Genomic DNA, 20,635 nt, shown 5'->3' with positions numbered 1-20,635 from the left:
CACCCACTACTTTCCACTCCCTGGCACAGGGAGGCATTTAATAGACATATGAACAATAACAAGAAAATAATAATATGCCAAAGAAACAGATTATATTGCTAGGCAAATCTCCTAGCACTGATGTCAAGACAGAGAAGATGCTGACCCATAGGATTCAAGTCAACCAGAAAGTCGGTGGCAGTACCCAAAATCAACTTTGGCCTTCCTAAAGCCCAGCCAAGAAACCTATATATGTTAATTTAAATAAATAGGTATATCAGATTTCAAACTTTCAAATGTTATCATTGCAGAGCTCTATTGGGTGGTACAGAAATGAGGCCTTCCAGTAAAAGAAATTTTAAAGCCATAAATGTGTTGACTCTTGGCATAAGCAAGTGAATAGTAGTATGGCAGAGAAGCTCTATGAAAGCAACAAGATATAAGAAAAAGGAAATGATATGGTGTGAAACTCAAACATCATTAAGTATAAGAGTTAGATCATGGGGGAAAAGCTTTGCAGCAAAAATAATCCATTAAAGAAAAGTTTGGTAAATTTCACTATTAAAAAGTGACATATATAATATCAAAAAATAAAGAGCATAAACAAAGTCAAGCCCAAGTGAAATGCTAGAAGAAAACGTACTTCTATTTATTTAAATTATGGTACAACCATGAACTAAAAAATGATATAACTATCACACAAGGTTAAGCTGGCTATATGTCTTGGCATGAAAAATGTTCAAGTACATTGGTATGCAGGAAAAGCAAATTGAATAGCAGTGTGTAAAAATGATAAAGATATAGGTATATAATGATAGAAACATCTCATTGCTATATGTATATAAACATCTAAAAGAATACTTAGCAAGTGCTTACGAAGTTGTCTTAGGAAGTAGAATCTAATAGGGGGATTTTTCCTCCCTATAATTTACATCTACATATTAATTAAATTTTTTTACAAATAGTGAACAGGTATTACCTTTACAGAAAAATATGTTTAGTGGAGAAAGGACAGGTAAAAACAAAAGGGATGCTGTAGACTGGTGAATGGAATGGAATGGAATCTGGAGTCAGACTGCCAGTGTTTAAATTGCGACTGCTACTTAAATACTGCAAGAACTAAAGCAAATACCTGGTGTTCTTTATCTATAAAATGGGGAAAGTAGCCATATATTCCTCATAGGATTGTTGTGAGGTTATGTAAGAGAAGACGGGAAAAATACTTAGGCTATTTCCTGGTACATAGTAAGTACTCGACAAATGTGAGGGGTTCCTGACAAAAACACTTCTTGAATTGTAATGCCCATTTTTCTTCAAATATTATCATCTTAACCTCTTCTGCAGTGCAAAAATTTAGTTGTCATTTGGGGCATTTTTTTTCCTTTAGAACATATTAAGTTGGTGCAATTAAAGTCAAAGGGAAAGTGGGATTTGCTTATAGTGTCCTCTTAATCTAAATATGAAAAGTAAAGGGTATCTGCATTATCCTCAGGACTGGTTGGCTTAATTCTGTCTTTAGAGGGCTGGGATATAGATGCTCTGGGTCGAAACTGTAGGGCATTGAGCTAGCACCGATTGGTGGGATCTGGAGATTAGAAATGTTAACATGCATTGTTTTCGGGGAATTGGTCAGGGGAAGGGTGAGGGGAGAATTCATTGCTGACCATTCATTAGAAAAGCTGCTTTTCTCCAAATCCCCTAGGAAAAGCTTCCTCAGATGCTGTGTCTGTGAAATCTGACCCTGCCTTTAATGTGAAACCTGAAGCTAAAGCTATCCTTATCGCCATATGGCCTCCTGATCAGAATCAGAATGGCTCTCTTGAGCCTCTAGAAAGAACTCTTCTCTAAACCTCCACATCTATTGCTTATATTATTTTATCCCAATCAAGTAAGGACCAGAATTCATGTCAATGCAAGGCCTGCAGACTGGTTGTAGGGTCATTAGCTGGTGGTATTCACCAAGCAGAGGAATGACCCTGGGTTTCCCATAGAACTAACTTCAAATCCACTCACATCAGAACAGTTATAACATGCTGAAACCAGTTTCCAAACCAAGAGAAAGTCAACAGTCACAAGCAAGCAGAGATATAACATGGCATTGGTCTAAAACCATTATTTGCCAAATGTGTTCCATGGATCCCTAATGTCCTATGAAATACTAGTGGGTTTTGCCAAAAAAATTTTTATTTCCAAGATGGTTTCAAAATGACATATATTATGTCTCAAACTTATTAATATACTATGCACATTCATTTTATTAGTCAATCAACAAACATTTATTGAGCACCTACCATGTACCAGACAGTGCTTTAGGTAGTATGGAAAAAGAGTAAGCAAGACAGATAAGATTCCAACCATGATGGAAGAAGAAAAGGAGCACAAAAACAAATATTAGAGAATATGCAGACAAGTAAATGAGAGAGGTGGGGCATACAGTGACCCGGTAGCTAATTGGGCTGTCAGAGAAATCCTCTCTGAGTACAAGGTATTTAAACTGAGAATTGAAAACCATGAGTGTCTTTAAAGATTTTTTAAAAAATGAAGATTCTTTAGTAAAGAAATATAGTAAATTTATCCTGACATTTCAAATCCATCTGTTTCCACAACGCTTTTTGAGTGGCACACCCACTGGCATCCCAGGGAACACTAGTGTTCTTTGGAACCCAGTTTGAGAAGTTCTGGTTTTATCTTGGGATTCTAGTGCTGTTGAATGCAGACCATTATCTGCATAATAGTCCCCCATCACACATAAATGCTGATGAAATAACCTGAAAGCCCACCCCCAGTGGGCTAACGGATACCAGCACTTTCTCCACTGATAGCCAGAAAAGCTGTGGCAGCAGCCGGAGTCTCAGGACTCTGAACTGCATAGTTCAGGTTCTCCAAGACTTGCACCCAGAGGCATGGTTTGATCTGTTGCTTTTACAGGAAGGGCACCCTGGGAGTTGAGAACATCCACCACAGAGAGGTAAGTTCCTACTTGGCAGTTTGCCGCAGCAATTACCACCTCGTGCTCCATCACTACCTTTCCACTCCGTCTCCCACCCTTACACCAGGCTTGTGATTCAAAGGCCTTCAGGCCAGGGGTAACAAACTATGGCCTGTGGGCCAAATCTAACCCACTGACTGTTTTCCAAATAAAGTTCCACTGGAACACAGGCATACCCATTCATTTGCATGTTGTCTACAGCTGCAGTGGCAGGGTTGAGTAGTTGCAACAGGGATCCCCTGTATGGCCTACAAAGCCTGAAAACTTGCCATCTGGCCCTTTGCAGAAAGAATGCTGATCCCTGTTCTGGGCACCTGTTCTGCACCCTTTTGGCCAGTCCTTCCAGCCTGTGGAGACAGCTACTGTCCTTGCTGACTGTGCTAGGTGAGGGTCTCCATCTTTCCCCAGCAGACACTTACACCTGAGGAAATCTATTGACAATCTTCCAAATGCCCTTCCTTTTCCTTAGAGAGTTAATGCACCTGGTGAGGGCACTTCTGCTGGTATGAGATTCCCTCTGCTCAAATTCCAGCTATGCCACTTGTTCACTCTGTGATCAAGGAAAATTCACTAACCTCTCCAATCTTCCATTTTAAAGCTTTAAAATGAGGATAATATTAACTGCCTTAGGATTGTTGCAAAGATTAAATGAGGGCGGGGTGCAGTGGCTCACGCCTGTAATCCCAGCACTTTGGGAGGCTGAGGAGGGCAGATCACTTGAGGTCAGGAGTTCCAGACCAGCTCTGGCCAACATGGTAAAACCCAGCCTCTACTAAAAATACAAAAATTAGCTAGGGATGGTGGTGTGCACCTATAATCCCAGCTACTCAGGAGTCTGAGGCAGGAGAATCGCTTGAATGTGGGAGGCAGAGATTGCAGTGAGCCGAGATCGTGCCACTGCACTCCAGCCTGGGTGAAAGAGCAAGACAATGTCAAAAAAAAAAAAAAAAGCCCATTAAATGAGACAATGCATGTGAAAAACTTTGCATAGCTCCTGACTTGCAGAAGCTGTTTCAGAAATGTTAGTTATTATTTTAGCTATTATGAAAAGGACCAAGAAGAGGGAACTGAACACAAAAGAAATAAATGCTATGAGTAGTCCCTTAATGCAGGGCATCTCAAATCACTTTCAACTAACAAATATGTGTTAAACAAGTTTTGGAGTAATATCCAGTGCTTTCGCTAGCTAATGGTATCTATGTGGCTAATAGATATTTGTTTTGGAGCTACCATTTTTGAAAACCATTTGTTGTTATCTATAAAGCTGAACATAGGTGCACCCTAGCATCCCACAACTTCACCCCTAGATATATACTCAACAGACAGGCATACATTTGTTCACAAAGACATGTACTGGAATGTGCAAAGCAGCACTATTTCATTATAGCCCCAAATTGGAAACTACCCCAAATATCACCAACTCCAGAATGGATAAAGATATTCACACAATGGCATGCTATTGGGCAATCAGAACGAACCATCTACAACAATATATGGCAACATGAAGGAATCGCACAAAGTTAAGCAACTTATATGCACAAATTTAAGCAACTTATTTGCTTAACTTTGTGCGATTCCTCCATGTTACTGTAGGTTACTCCATAGATGTATTCAGTTTGTAAAAAGTTACCAAAAAGCAGAAAGGAGAGAAAAAAGAAAGAAAGGAGGGAGGGAGAGAGGAAGGGAGACATATTGAGCACATACGCTTTGCCATTCTGTTTTCTATCATGCCCTGTTTTATATTCATTCTTTTGTTCCTAGCTCTTGACCTTGAATGCTCCCTTGTCTCATATCATCTTTTTCTCTAACAAGAACCTGATTTGCAGACCTATGGCTTTGAAGGAACCATGCAGTATTTGCTCAGTGAAAAAGCACAGACCCCACAAACCCTCCACTTTCTTTATTTCAGGCCTGGCGTAAAGGAGATGGGACTCACACCCAAGAGGATGCATTTCCATACACCCATTTCTGAAATATGAAGAGGTGTCCAGTCTGTTTGATTCATAGCTGCCTGTTCCACAACTGCAGATACAGTAATTGATAACCGAGACCAAGTTCTCATCCCCATCTCCCAGGGCTGGAACTGGGGCTGTGTTTGGTTCTCATAAGATCAGTTCCAGTTTTAGAAACTGAGTAAATTGTGGAGTAAATATTGCCAAGTGATGGCTTTCTGCTGTAGGCGTGGGTCGCTGTTGGCCATTTGCCTCAGCATATCACCAGCAATGCACCTCATTGCATCACTGCATTTCCAATTACACCTCAAAGCACCACTGGTCCCCTGTCCACCCTCTGCCCTGCAGAGGTGGGTGTTCAGGGAGACAGATCCAAAATCTGGGCTCAGAAGATGGAAATGCCAACTGCTCTCAATTTGAGAGTGGGGATGAGACTTTTTGACTCAACTCTGGTTAATTCAGCCATGCTGTCAGAGCTGCTTTGATGCAAGGACATCTGAATGCTATCTGAATGCTGCCCCTAAAATAACAAATTAAAAACAACAACAACAACAAAAATCAAGTGTTGTAGAACAGTTCTCCTGCCCCAATCCCTGAGCCTCAGTTCATCCCAGCCCTTCCTCCTAGGGTTAGAGAGAGGCTCAGGATGAGCTGAGATACTAGGATGAGGTAAGCGACAGGAGGGGCTGAAGGCTGGGACTAAGAGTTGGGAACAGGTATAGGAAGAAGTCCAGTGACAAAAGCCTGGTCAGGAATGGGGAATTAAAACAGATCACATTACATCAGCAGTCATGTCCAATGTTCCTAGTCCAAAGAGCTCTGCAATTATCACCTTGGTTGACTGTCTTGCAACTCCACCACTCACACGCAGGAATAGGCAGCCATTACCAAGGGCATGGTTGGACCTGAAGCTTGCCACTCAAGACCCTCCAGCATTTGGCCAAACTTCCATCTCCATCTTATTTCTTCCCCTTCATGAACTGTCATTTTAAATCAAACTCCATGCCATGACAAATCCCCACCCCCGCCATGACCGGGGGAAGATCACTAGGCACCCTCCTCATCCTGGTAAATGTACCTCCCCCTGCTGAAATTAGACCCATTTTCCAAGGCCTTCCCTGAATCTCTAATCAGGAGAGGTTTCTTCCCCCAACTTCCATAAAATTTTCTTTTGATGTTTACCTTTACCATGGCATTCATCACATGCAAACTTGCTTTATGAATAATTTTCTTTCTTCCTCCTAGCTCCTATACCACATTTTCATGAAGGCAGTGACTGTATTTCATTACAATAAGTGCTCCTACTTATTGGGCATGTACCAATATGCTTACCACTTCTTATAAATTTTCTCTAAACTTATAAAAAATCAATAAGTAGGGGTTATAATTCTCATTTTTACACATCTCTTCCAGCACATAGAAAGCTATGGCTAGGCGAATGAATGGATAGGTGGATGGGTGGATGAACAGGTAAATGGGATGGATGGATGGATGGATAAATGAATGGGTGGATGAGTGAATATACAGATGGATAGATGGATATTGAAAACATCCAGTTGACCCAAATCCAAAATATTACCTTCCTTCATCAGGAGTTCCTTACCCCCACACCAAATCAGGAAGTGGGAGATGATATCAGTTATAAATAAGCCTTCCTCTACTGTAGAAAATTCATATTGCCCCAACCTTCAGGTTTAGTCAGATGAAGGTAATATCCTCAAAATAAAGAATAAGTGAATATTCCATAGGTTTCTTAAGCAATGCAAACCAGTGAAAAGGCTTTAGGGGAACAAAACCTGCCTCACATCTCTTATCTCAGGGTTTACTAAGTTTCTGTCCTTAAGCCTTGAGCAGCTTATCCTTTCCTTAACCATCAGTGTCCTCATCTGTAAGACAGGAGAATAACCACATCTTCCTCACAGGTGGCAGAGAGAGGAAAGTTAAGTAGTGGAGGTAAAAGCCTGGCACAAGTGGACCCTTAATAATTGTTCATTTTCTCCAATCTCTAATTCCAAGAAATGTAAGAAGCTGTGAAAGTAATGAGGTCTTAAAAAACAAAACACCAAATAAAGAGTTCTCCCCACTTAAAGCTCAGCATACGCCTACACACTGTCATCATCCCTTCTCTACCCAGGTTGATTGTCACAAAGCCATTCCTAAGGCACTGACAGATGTAATTTCTTGCCAATTTTGTCTCTTGTCCACTTGGCCCTCATCCTTATAGGGTTTCCTCTTTCTTTGCTTCTACTAATGCTTGAAATTAAGACAGTTTTCAGTTTGTTTCTATGTTTGAGTTGTGGTTGAAGCAGGTATCTCCAACAAACCCAGAAAGCCTCAAACTTCCTAGGGAACCTTGGAAAGTCTACACAGTGTTTGCTATCTAAAGGAAAATTCTTCCCTTGATTGTCCAAATCCTTCTGTTTAAGTCCAAGGGAAAAGCTCAGCGTCTGTTCCACCTGACCCTATGGATACAATAGTTGGATGTTCCCATGTCCTCTACAGAGAGTTCTACAAGGGAAAATTTCAAACACATGTTTTGGAAGCAGAAGTCCCAAGTGCTATGAATGAAACATATCAGTCATCATTTTTCTACCCTTCCTCTATTTGTAGCCCAGAAGCTAAAAATCACCTGCCATCTTGGAAATAATCCCTGGAGGATCAAGTCCAAGGGGGAGAAGTGGACTGGTCACCCCAGCCGAGGTTATCTAAGTTCCATGGCTTACTCCAGACAGGAAGCCCCACATCCTGCAGCCTCATTCATAATCCATAATAGATGGTGTTCTTGGATCCCAAGTTGAGAAAAGAAGTTAACTATGCACATTTTGGCAAAGATGCAGACCAGGGTTTGATCTAAGCAGCTATCACATAAAATAATAAAGTACAAATGGAAATGGCAAAAATGTGCCCATATCACAGTGCAGAGTGTGCCAAAGCTGACCGAAAAATTATGCATTTTTCATGTTTCAATAAACGTACTTAACTGGCATTTTGTGGGACACTGCTGGGTGACAGCCCACGGCATCAGAGCTGGCAAGGAGCCCACATCCTGCAACGCTGGCAGTTCCCCATCTTCTCCATTAGCTCAAACCACATGGAGAGACGAGAGCAGGACAAATGAGACACCTCTTTTTTTTTTCCAAGTATATTGGAGTCCACCCAGGAAAAAAGCCAGGCAGGTTGACAAAAAGTGTAGGCAAGTGTTCCCAGCCTCTCCACTGCATACTCAACGAGGGAAATCATAAAACCACAGTCATTCAAACAGCCATTTAGAGTTTACAAGCGCTTTTCAGATGTATTCTCTTAATCCTCACAGAAATGCTAAGGAACGTATTTTTAAGGCCCTTGTTTTACAGATTACATAAATGGAGGCTCAGAGAGGTCGAGGGACTTTCATAAGGATAAACAGCCGAGTAAGTGCCAGACAAGGGGCTGGATCCAGTCCTTTCTGCCTCTCGCACCTGTGCTGTGGGCTGCCTGCCTCCTGCTTCACCCAGACCCACATCAGTCAGTCTGATTTTCTGCCTCACACCCACGCTGTAAAGGCCAGGAAGTTGGAACATGTCTGGGTAGAAATCTGATTCTCAGACCTTCGGGACAGAGATAAAGAAGCTGTTTTCAAGTTGTGGTAGGGAAAACCACTTACCCCTTCCTCATGTGTGCAGGAAAAAGTTAACACACAGAAAACTGATGTTTCTTAGTGGCCCGGTTTATTTTATGCCCCTAAAGAGTCAGAAATGGTGATATGCTTAAGTAGGAGGACATCCACAAACATAGCACAGGGATATTCTGTTATGCTTGTGTTTGCCTTTTCTGTCCCTCCAATCTCTTTCTTCCTTCCCTTGGCAACCTTTTGGGGCACTCCTAAAAGACATGGGAACTGAGACCTAAGCTCACATTTGGTTCAAACTTATTCACTGCTTTCCCCAAAGGTTTGAGAAGCAATTCAAAGCCTTCTGTCTGTCACCTTGTGCACAAGAAGAGACAGACTGGTTTGAATTGGTAAGATCTTTGGGATCCCCAACTGAGACAGGTTCAGCTAACCCTTTCTCAGAAACAATGTGAGCTCACCTAGTTTAAGTCCATGGGGAGCAGGGATGGGGACAGGACATCAAATCCATCATGAAAGATTATTCCACAGAATATATGTTCTGGGTTCTCTTTTTTAAAAAGCGTTTCAGAGTTCTGACTTCTACCGTAGAGACAGAAACAGGGCTTAGGGAAGCACTTGGTGCAGGCCAGGCCAGGAACCCAGGTCAATTCTAAACCAAACTCTGATCAACTGAGGAGTAAACAGGAAGCGTGCTCCTGTTATCATAATGTTCTGCTTAATTGGGAACTAAGTAGAGTCTAGTGAACATAATTAAATCTTTCTTTGATAATTGGGAATCTAGCAGTGCCCCGGGGTGATCATGCTAAACATCAATTATCAATTCTCACTGGTGGGAATGCAGGCAATTGAGTTCAACCTGAAGTGACTTTGAGGCCGACTACAGGACATTCATTTTTACTGAACCCCTATTACCAACTTATTACTTTCCCTCTTTCCTAGACAGCTAGTGCAAGGAAAATTCTGTCCATGAGATATTTTCAGTTGTTTGAATCAGTTAATCAAGATCTCCATGCAACTATTCAGAAATTAGAAGAGGTCTCAGAATGTCAGCTTATTGTACCTGGTTATTAAATCAAATAAATCTAGCCAGATACAAATAAATCCTTGGATTTATTTTGCAAATTTCTTTTGAGGTCCACTCCTGCCTCCAGTACCCCTGGTCAGATACATTCTCACCTTGCATGAATCAGATAGAATGAGTCAAAGGACGCCAAGTCAACTGAATATTGAAGGCCCAGTTCTCCTACTATGTAGCCATTTGACATCAAGGAGCCTATTTCACTTCTGAGATTCCGTTTCCTTATCTGCACACCTGAAGGTTGCACTTATTGGTTCTTAAACTTTCAGGAATACAAATCTTCTTAAGAATCAGAGAAAAATGGCCAGGTACAGTGGCTCACGCCTGTAATCCCAGCATTTTGGGAGGCCGAGGTGGATTACCTGAGGTCAGGAGTTTGAGACCAGTCTGGCCGACATGGTGAAACCCCATCTCTACTAAAAATACAAAAAATTAGCCAGGCATGGTGGCAGGAGCCTATAATCCCACCTACTTGGGAGGCAGAGGCAGGAGAATTGCTTGAACCTGGGAGGCAAAAGTTGTAGTGAGTCGAGATCACACCATTGCACTCCAGCCTGGGCGACAGAGTGAGACGCTGTCTCAACAAAATAAAAACAAAAACAATCAGAGGAAAATTAAGAACATTTTTCCCAACAGGGAAAAAGGAAAATACGTACAAAATGTTTATATTCTAAACAGGGGAATGGGGTCATGGACCCCCCCCCGCCCCCACAAGCCCATCATCTTGTGACCCCTTCCAGGAACTTCCAGCTTAAACTCCTGGGGTAGAAGACCCCTTGGGCCTTTTTGAACACTGGCATCCTCTGAATCCAGCTAACTACAAGCATAGAGAGTAGTGGTTCTCAGCCTTAAATCTACATGGAGACCCCGGGGGAGTTTTCAAACTCTAACGCTCGGATTGATCCCTAGATCAGTTAAATCCATGTCTTTGGGGGTGGGTCCCAAGCATGAGTATTTTTTGACCCTCTCCAGGTGATTCTAATGTGCAGACAAGTTTGCAAACCACTGCTGTAGAACAAGAATTCTCAAAATTAGGAATGAATAGCATCCCCCAGGGAGAAGGCAGTTTCCCAGGCTACTGCCCTACATGATTCAAACACCTTCTAGTCAGATCCTGCCTGGGAAAATGCACTGATAGTCGGCATCCCAGGCCATTCTGATGTAACTACAATGTGGGAGCCCAGTAAGATAGCCATTTAGCAGGAGATACCCAGAAGGGTCCTCTCCTCACCTACCCTGTCCTCCCAGACAGCTCTGCATGCTCTCAGCAGGTCTCCAGCCTTATTCAGGAGGAGCCTCAACAGGTCCCCTTCATTTGCCAAACAGGCTTTTTCTCCACCTTTCCCATTTCTAGAAAACTCGGATCTTTTACCCAGAGCCTCTGATCCCACGAGGATCAATAATTTAAGCAGAACAATCATCAACATCGTCGTGTTTAATATTTGAATTCCATAGCATCACTTAGGTCAGCTTCAAGGTGAGAGCCGACTCCTGTTCTCTTGCTGTTAACAAACTGGGCCAGTGACTGCCAGAGGGGACTGTGTGCATAGCTCCCAGGCAGGCCAGCCCAGGCAAACACCCAGCCCGCCGGGTTCTGCACCCACTCTACCCTTTCCTACCTGAAGCGTGTGCAGCAGGACCTGTAGCCCACTAGCTTCTTGTTCGGCCATCCTTTTCTCGGGTCCTAGGGAACCGCTGCCTGCGGCCAGATCCAGGCTGGAGAGGCAGCGGCTGCCAAGCTGACCTCGCTGCCCGCCTCGCAGGAGACGACTGCCCGGAGGCCTCAGCTGCACATGCTGCTGAGTGTGAAGTCAGCGCGGTGCAACCCTAGACCTCGGCACAGGCGTGAATACCCACCGACTCCCACTGTGGGGATTAGGTGAGCCCCTGCTGTGGGGAGGGCTGAGCATTTGGGTGCAGGGGTGGGGAGGGCACCAGCATGAGTCACTCACCCACCTCCAGGCCCATGCAGGAGCAGAGCAAAGGAGAAGCCACCCTGGATGGCTGACAGGCATTCCCAGCTGACCTGGTCAGACTCCCTCTAGAGGCTCGCTCAGCCCGCCCCGCTACCCCACCCCACCTCTTTATTTTGGTCTGTTGCCGGCTCCCGGGTAACAGGAGACCCAAGAGTGCTTGCACAACTGTGGCAGTTCAGGGCATAGAAACCCAGGGCCCCCTGAGGTCCCAGGCTTAGAAACAGGAGCTCTGGCTGAAAAGGAAAATAAGTATTCTGGACATTTTTTATGGACCACGTCCCTTACGTAATCTTTTAATTTTTACAGTAACCTAATAGAGGTGGGTACTATTATGACTACCCTATCCCTGTTTTACAAATAAGAAAACTAAGGCACTGAAATGTTAAGCCACAAGAACACAGAGCTTAGAATTGCATGCCAGGCCTCAAACAGGCAAGCTGGCACCAGAACACAAGCACTACCCATTGCACCATCCTGCCTCTTGCTGCAGCAAACACTTCAAAGTAATGGAGGTCTGAGAGCCATGTCCTCAGCCTCAGGGACAGCAGATGCCCGGGACAAGTTTCCTTCAGACCAATGTAGAATCCATGATCACTTTCTATGTTTTCTGCTAGGGATGTGTGAGCAGAGTCTTAGCGACTAGCTTCTCCTCCTCCCCATATCAACACCCTTCAATGCTGACTTCTCAAAGTATGGTGCTAGGGCGTCACCTGGAAGCTTGTTACGCCTCTCCCCAGAACTACTGTGTCCGAAACTGCATTTAAACCAGATCCTCGGGGGATTTAGAGCTGGTTAACAAAATGACCAGAGGATTAAAGTTTGGAAATCTCCAATTTCGACTATATTGATTACATTGCCTGCGTGTTCAACAACTCTGACAATATTTGACCCAATAAACGAGTGCCCAGCAAGGTCAAAGCACAACTTTACTGTGTTGAAAGCTCGCTTTATTGCATGAAATTGGAGCGCTGAGCTCAGTGGAGATTCTGACTGAGAGCACGGTCAGGTATTATAGAAGAGTCTCAGTGACTGGGGGAGTGGGCTGCCAGCCAACACCCCCGTGCGGAGTTTAGGGAGATTCTGTGAGCATCACAAGCATTCATTAGGCAGGTACCAAGCACATTGGGGTGACTGAAGAAACTGCATTTCCAGATCCTGCTTGGCCTAAGTGTTCTGAAGTCCCGAGTCAGGGGTCAGGCCTGGCCAAACCCTCAATTCAAGGGCAAATTCATGTAGTCCTGCCCTCAAGAAATTTCCACTTAATGGCTTTAAATATGAAGGCCTCCCATCTTGGGAACTGACTATAAGCGCTCACATTTATGAAGCTTGCGGGGTGGGGTTGACGCCGTCTACCCCTACCCCAATTTCTCTACATCTGCTGCCAGGAGGGTAGAAATAGAGGTTCTCTATGGATTTCTATGGGAGGGTGACGCTTTTTAGGGCATGTGCTCTCTAATCCTCTAAGGCCCAGGGTGAAGGGAAGACAGAACTGTCTCATGTGATTGTCTTAAGGGGAGATCATTTCATGGTTGTCAACTGGAGGATAAAGAAAAGAGATGGGGGAAGAAAGAAACAAAACCATTTTCCCAACATAGACCTAAAAAATAGTTCAAAGATAAAAAGTAGTGAGAAGTCATAAAAATGACCTCAGAGGAGAGAACTAAAGGTTTTGTGGTCACACTCCCTGATATTAGAATTGGAGCAAAATTTTCTCCATTTTGAAGAGTGTCTCGGTTAAGCTGCCTGGAATTGCATAGGGCAGAAGTGAGATTAAAATCCTATATGTAAAGGATTGCTCTCTTCTACTTAATGATGACTTTCCCCCCACCGCAGTGCCAGGAACCTGGTTTCCAGTAAACCCCTTGTGAGATAAGGAATGGGCTCCCTCTCTTTCAGGTGACACATCTGCCTCCCATGCCCAGCTTGGCTGCTCTCCCCTTCATCCTCTGGAAAGTTACTGCCCACTTGGCCATGTGGATACATGTGGATGCCAGAGAAGGAACAAAGTGCTAGTTTTCACCCTCTAATTTTTCTAACAAAACTAGGATGTAGGCCAGCTTATTGTCAGCCCTCCGCCGCTCCTTCAGCACGCTCCTCCCTTATGCCTCAACAGAGCCCTGTGGAGACCCCAGCAACCCTGTTTCCCTGCCTAGCAGAACCCTCTTCACTCTCATAGTTAGGGAAAGCCCCAGAAGTACCCACACCCGAACTCCCCTCTCCTGAATTCTATCTTAATGACAGCCCATTCTGTTAGTGAACTGATTACTTTAGGCTGAAGTATAAATGGGTGACAGCAGGGAATTATGCTCTTCCCCAGTTAACATCTGGATTTTAGCAGGGACTCTCCTGAAAGGCAGGTGAGTGTGGAGTCTGCTTGGGCAATACAATATCCTACCCAGAGTAGACTGAAGTGAGTACTCATTAAACCACACGGGGCAGGCAAGAGGGGTTGGTCAGTGCCTAGGGCAGGCCATGGGGGAGGAGGCTTCTTTGTGAAGCTGAGAGAGGACTTCCTACACATTTTACATAATATCTTCTGAAGAAAGGGTTTAGGGAAGCCAGAGAGGAGGTTCAAGCAGAAATTCAGAGAGATCTTAGTCCTCTGGCTTTAAAGAAAGACACATTTCATGTAATCCAGAGATTCCTGTTGCAATTCAGGCATCCCCCAGACCACCTTCTGGTTTAGTGATTTGCTAGGACTCACAGTTATAGTTTATTACAGTGAAATGATACAGATCCACATAAGCAAAAAGAGAGAGGCACATAGAGCAGAGTCCAGGAGAGACCATACGTGAGCTTCCAGTTTTCCTTCCCCTATAGAGTTATGCAGCCAACACTCCCAGCAACAATGTGTGCAACACACACAGGGTATTGTCAACCATGGAAGCTCACTTAAGCCTTGGTGTCCAGGGTTTTATTGGGAGTTGGTCATGTAGACATGAATGGCCTTAGTCTCTATCCCTGCCAGAGGTCAAGCTTATACTGTGTTGCCCAGGGCCCCCAGGTAAACAAAGACACTCACGAGGCAGGACATTCCAAGGATTTAGAGATTAGCTCCCAGGGCTAGACGAGGAACAAATCTTCCTTTAGGCAAGATTAATCCTTTGCCGCACACCTGCCCTCTTATCCCATCATCTCAGACTCAAGACTCTCATATCTTATGAATAACACAGAGAAAGAAGTGCAGGCTTCTATAATTAGAAGAATTCGATAGTGAGCAGAATGCCAGACTCAAAGAGTAGTAATTAATAAATTGACACTGACATAGACGGTTTTCTAACAGCATTTATTCAGTCCCCTTGCTCTTTCCTATTCAACATTTTTATCAATGACTTGGGTGAAAATAAAGGCTACACGCTCATCAGATTTTCGGATGACACCCAGTTAAGAAAGATACGAATATGTCAGATGACCGAGTTGGAATCCAAAAAGATTTCAACAGCCTTGAGTAATGGACCAGATCCTACAGGATGAAATATAATAGAGCCAAGAGTAGAAATTCCCTCCCCCAGGTCTTCACTACCACCTGACAAAAATAAGGTTGGGAGGCTTGGCTAAACACTGCTGAATGTGAAAAAAGCTTGGGGGTTTATCCAGAGGTGAGACCAATATGAGTTTTCAGCATGACCCCATATCCCCAAAGCATCTTTTCAGTCTAATGTCATCACCTCTAAAAGGGGGATAAATGTTGTATCTGTAACCAAAATAGCAGTGAGGCTGAACTGAGATTTTTCCATTGAGAGTAAAGGTCCCTAGAAGATAAATTCTCCATAGATTTTTTTTTTTTTTTTTTGAGATGGAGTCTCACTCTGTTGCCCAGGCTGGAGTGCAGCGGTGCAATCTCGGCTCACCGCAACCTCCATCTCCTGGGTTCAAGTGATTCTCCTGCCTCAGCCTCCTGAGTAGCTGGGATTACAGGAGTGCACCACCATGCCCGGCTAAGTTTTGTATTTTTAGTAGAGCTGGGGTTTCACCACGTTGACCGGGCTGGTCTCAAACTCCTGAGCTCAGGTGATCCGCCCAGCTCGGCCTCCCAAAGTGCTGGGATTATAGATAGGTGTGAGCCACCGCACCCGGCCCATAGATTTAAATTCATAAATGGCAAACAGGATTTCTTTCCTGAGAGTAGAAGGGAGAGAGTAGGTAGCAGGAGAGCATGCCCTGCCATGAGGATGGCAGCACAACTTCCAGGAGTCTTAGCCGTGCCTTGAAAGATGCAGTGACTTAGCGCTCAAGAGTGCAGGTACCACAGGCAGAAGAGGAGGCATGAAAGCAGGGAGTTCCTCTACTACTGCACCTGGAACCAGCCCCGCTCCACTCTAAACACAGAACACGTGGTTTCAAGCTTTTGCTCCCATGTCTATTAGCTATGTGACTTGGAGCTAAGTTACCTAATCTCTCTGTGACTCTGTTTTCTCATCTGTTAAATGGGGGAGATGATAATGCTTACCTCATAGGGTTGCTAAGAGGATTAATTTGAGCAGCACTTAAGTTTTCAGCGCAGTGCTGGTCATCTGAAAAGCACTCAATAAATGCAGTCGTTATTGATATTATTGTCATTATTACATTTCAGATTTGATAATACCTACTAAAATAATTGGTGAGAGGGTTAAATGAGCAAATGCATGTGGAAGTGACTAATGGACTTTGATGACAGGGCGGTAAATTATTGAGCAGTGATACCCTAGACTCCTCCTAAATAAGAGGGTACTGGGTGAGGAAAGTGACTTGACTTGACATCCATATTTCTGCCCAGCAAGAAATAGGTTTGGAGTTCTGATCATTCCCAAGCATCTCTCAAATGAATTGACCACAAGGCCTGTGCAACTGAAGGTGCCACTGAGGGCCTGATGAGATACCAGACAAAGCAAAAAAGACGTAGATGAGAGCTCTGCCTCTTTCAAGCTACAGAGACAGAGAGCAACAGCCTGATCCACCATGGCCAGTGGCCTGTGCAGCAAGCTGAAGGGAAGCCAAACCTGTGGCGAGGATGGGCTGACCAACACCAGGGGATTTTGCCCTTTGAAAAAGAACTTGAGACTTAAAGTGAGAGATCCGAAGCAGCTTAGTCGTCTCCACCACAGTGAGATCTTGTAACAAGGGCAACACAGGACACAACAGAGAGGGGCAGAGAAAGCATCTCCAGGCAATACCAGAATCACGACTGCGCTCCCAACAGCACTGGTTAGGAGGAACTACTTTCTCATGGGGTGTCCTATGATCTGACTGTATCACCACAAATTTACATATTGAAATCATAATCCCCAATATGATGGTATTAGGGGGTGTGGCCTTTGGGAGGCAGTCAGGGCATGAGTGTGGAGCCCTCATGAATGGGATTAGGGTCCTTATAAAAGGGCCCTTGTATATAAAGAGCTAAATATTAATATTAGTGCCTTTATGAGGCTTGCTCCTTTCACCACCTGAGGATACAGCTAGAAAGAGCCACCTGTGAACCATGAAACAGGCCCTTAACCAGACATTGAATTTTAGGCTTCCCAGTCTCCGGAACTGTGAAAATAAATTTATTTTGATTATGAGCCATTCAGTCTAAAGTATTTTCTTTTAGCAGACCAAATGGACTAAGACAAGGAGGAATTGAATCTACTCTACTCTCTTTATAGTGTTATATAAGTTATGTTTTTTAAATTGTATGTTGTTCTCAAATGAAACTGAATGTACTCATTTTTCACTAGCCGATAGACTCAAAGAACAATTCAAATATTTTTATATCTGGCTATGTATCTGGCTATTCCATTCTGGGGTCCAGAGTGTACAAAACAGGTGAACAATAATTCTTGCTAAATGTTACAATTCAATCATTTCTGGCATAACTTTGAGGTCCAATAATAATAGGAAGGCTTCCCTTGGTGTTGGGAGAACATTCTTGACCACCACTCCCCCAGCTTAATTATCAGAGTCTTAGTCATACTTGTCCAAGATTCAGAAAGCTCATCACCCTGCCTTTTCTTATCTACAAATCCTGGTCTATTAAACAGGTGTCCAGGTGATAACTTATTCTCCTTCACTGTCTTGGAAGGTTTTTCTCCTCCTCCTGGTTGATGTGAAGCAAAGCCCACATCCTTCAGGACCTATGGGAAGTGGTAGAATACAAAAGTCACACAAAGGGGAACGCCTAGAACAGTGAGGGGAGGTTTCAGTGGCAGTTGATTTATCCTCCTTCTCTCAGTAGTGCTCACCTGCCCCAACCCAACCACACACCACCACCACCCAAACCTCCTACCCCTTTGACCTCTAGTGTGGAGTGATAAGGGTTATAATTAGGATGAGTTCATACAGGGAGAAGATTGTGTGAGGCTGTGGTCTCACAAGGAGTTTCTTGTGAACTATGGAAGCCTTGCTTTCAAATGCAAACTTTTTAGATGGGATCAAGGACCATATTGCTCGTTTATATGTAAATTGTATTTTCTGGCAGAAAAATATAATAAAGCATTTTTTAAAAATCTTCCAAACTTTTCACACAGACTTAAGTTATTCCAGAATCCCAAAAAAGTATTATTACCACAAAAGGGATCACTGGTCCCAGGAGGAAATACATATTAGCATTCCAGGACCAACAGGTTCCTATGCCTGCTGTGAAGTAAACGACCAACACATTGAGACAGCCAGGTGTGCAGCAGAAGAAGAGTTGAATGATCACAGGGCAGATGGGTGAGGAGATGTGAGGAGACCCTCAAATCTGTCTCCCTGAGGAGTTCTGGGTTGAGGTTTCTAAGCGGATCATGGAGGGTGAGGGGCTGGAAAATTAGGGGCATTGATTGGTTTGGGTAAGGGGGAAGAAATCATCAGAATGTGGAAACTGCCTTCTTTGATGAGTCAGTTCCTTCTGGGGTCTTTCAGACCAGCTAGCATCAGTAGTTTCACTGACATGCATGACCAGAAAGAATATCTCAAAGGGAAAACTTAATGTTTCACAATAATTAAGTTGTTATCTACAGAGCAGTTAAGGGGAACTATAATCTTGTGTCAGGATTTCCATGATTCCGGGGTGGCAGACAGCAAACAACTATAAGGAAGCAAGTCAGAGAGAATAAGCTGAGCTAGTAAATGCTGAGTGCGCTGCAAGTTTGGTTTATTTTCATTTCTCCCCCTCCCATCTTTCCTGATAAATTCTATAATGTTTATAGAAATGGTTTCATTAGTTTAATTGAATTATTTCTATCAGAGAATACGAGAAGGGTAATTGGTTCTGGACTAGTCTCTATTGTTTATCGATTTCTTTACTTCATTAATATCTGCTCTTTATTATGTCCTTTCTACTTATTCTGGATTTAAGTTGTTTCTATCTTTCTAACTTCTTAAGGCACAAATTTAGATTACCAATCTTAAATTTTTCTTCTCTTCTAATATAAGCGTATAAAGCTATAAACTTCCCTCTATGTACTGCCTTTGCTGAGTCCCACAACTTTTCATGTGTGTTCATTATCATTTAGCTGAAAACATCTTCCAATGTTTGACACATGGGGTATTTAAACATGTGTTTTATAAATATGCAGATATTGGGACTTTGCCAGATGTCTTGGTCCATTCAGTGTTGCTTTAAAGGAATGCCTGAAGCTGGGAAATGTATAAAGAAAAGAGGTTTATTTGGCTCATAGTTCTAAAGGCTGTACAAGAAGCATTTGCTTCTGGTGAGGGCTTCAGGCTGCTTCCACTTATGGTGAAAGGCAAAGGGGAGCTAGTGTATGTAGAGACCATGTGGTAAAAGAAGAAGAGAGAGATAGGGGAGGTGCCAGGCTCTTTTTAACAACCAGCTCTCACAGGAACTAATAGAGTGAGAACTCACTCACTCTCCTGCTTCAGGGAGGGCATTGATCCATTTATGAGGGATCCACCCCCATGACCCCAACACTTCCCACTAGGCCCCATCTCCAAACACTACCACACTGGGGATTAAATTTGAGCATGAGATTTGGAAGGATCAAACTTCCAAACCATGGCACCAGAGTTCCTTTCATTAATCTTCAGTTTAATTCCATTACGGACAAAGAACATATTCTAAATATTGGAAGATTTCTGTCATTTGAAATTTACTGAGACTTCATTTTTGACCCAGCATATAGTTAATCTTAAAGAAAATTAAATGTGTAAATAAAAAAGAATGTAGGTTCTGAGCTGCTGGATGTAACATACTATAATTGTCAATCATATCAAAGCAGTTGCAATGGATTAGATGTTTGTATACCTCCAAAATTTGCATTGAAATCTTAATCCCTAATATGATGGCAGTAGGAGTTGGGGCCTTTGGGAGGTGATTAGGCCATGAAGGCAGAGCCTTCGTGAATGGAATCAGGGCTCTTATAGAAGACAGCCCAGTTATCTCCCTCATCCCTTTTTCATATAAAGACACAGTAAACCTGACAAAAACAAGAAATGGGGAAACGATTCCCTATTTAATAAATGGTGCTGGGAAAACTGGCTAGCCATATGTAGAAAGCTGAAACTGGATCCCTTCCTTACACCTTATACAAAAATTAATTCAAGATGGATTAAAGACTTAAATGTTAGACCTAAAATCATAAAAACCCTAGGAGAAAACCTAGGCAATACCATTCAGGACATAGGCATGGGCAAGGACTTCATGTCTAAAACACCAAAAGCAATAGCAACAAAAGCCAAAATTGACAAATGGGATCTAATTAAACTAAAGAGCTTCTGCACAGCAAAAGAAACTACCATCAGAGTGAACAGGCAACCTACGGAATGGGAGAAAATTTTTGCAATCTACTCATCTGACAAAGGGCTAATATCCAGAATCTACAATGAACTCAAACAAATTTACAAGAAAAAAACAAACAACCCCATCAAAAAGTGGGCGAAGGATATGAACAGACACTTCCCAAAAGAAGACATTTATGCAGCCAACAGACACATGAAAAAATGCTCATCATCACTGGCCATCAGAGAAATACAAATCAAAACCACAAAGAGATACCATCTCCCACCAGTTAGAATGGCGATCATTAAAAACTCAGGAAGCAACAGGAGCTGGAGAGGATATGGAGAAATAGGAACACTTTTACACTGTTG

General features: G+C 43.2%; 1 protein-coding gene and 1 long non-coding RNA gene across 12 annotated transcripts in view; one reads left to right on the top strand and one right to left on the bottom strand.

Annotated features, from left to right (window-relative positions):
• The window catches only part of LINC01584 (long intergenic non-protein coding RNA 1584), a 33,373-nt gene extending 25,467 nt beyond the window's left edge, over window positions 1-7,906 (top strand). The window contains exons 4-6 of the long non-coding RNA NR_120368.1: window positions 2,908-2,947; window positions 4,878-5,001; window positions 7,531-7,906. This is a non-coding gene — a long non-coding RNA (long intergenic non-protein coding RNA 1584). The remainder of the gene's footprint in view (window positions 1-2,907; window positions 2,948-4,877; window positions 5,002-7,530) is intronic.
• Window positions 1-11,631, bottom strand: part of AGBL1 (AGBL carboxypeptidase 1) — a 951,857-nt gene extending 940,226 nt beyond the window's left edge. For 10 of the 11 annotated variants that reach the window (XR_007064423.1, XR_931751.4, XM_011521227.4 and 7 more), the window contains exon 1: window positions 11,228-11,631. Coding sequence is in view for 9 of the 11 variants with exons in the window: in XM_011521227.4 (XP_011519529.1) it covers window positions 11,228-11,278 (51 nt within the window). In the remaining 2 variants the exon portion in view is untranslated. The remainder of the gene's footprint in view (window positions 1-11,227) is intronic. The other variant, NM_001386094.1, reaches the window with a different exon arrangement.

This window comes from Homo sapiens, chromosome 15 (assembly GCF_000001405.40).
Source record: "Homo sapiens chromosome 15, GRCh38.p14 Primary Assembly".
Classification (NCBI taxonomy): domain Eukaryota; kingdom Metazoa; phylum Chordata; class Mammalia; order Primates; family Hominidae; genus Homo; species Homo sapiens.
The sequence above is the reverse complement of the archived record's forward strand: the minus strand, read 5'-3'. Positions and strand labels throughout refer to the sequence as shown.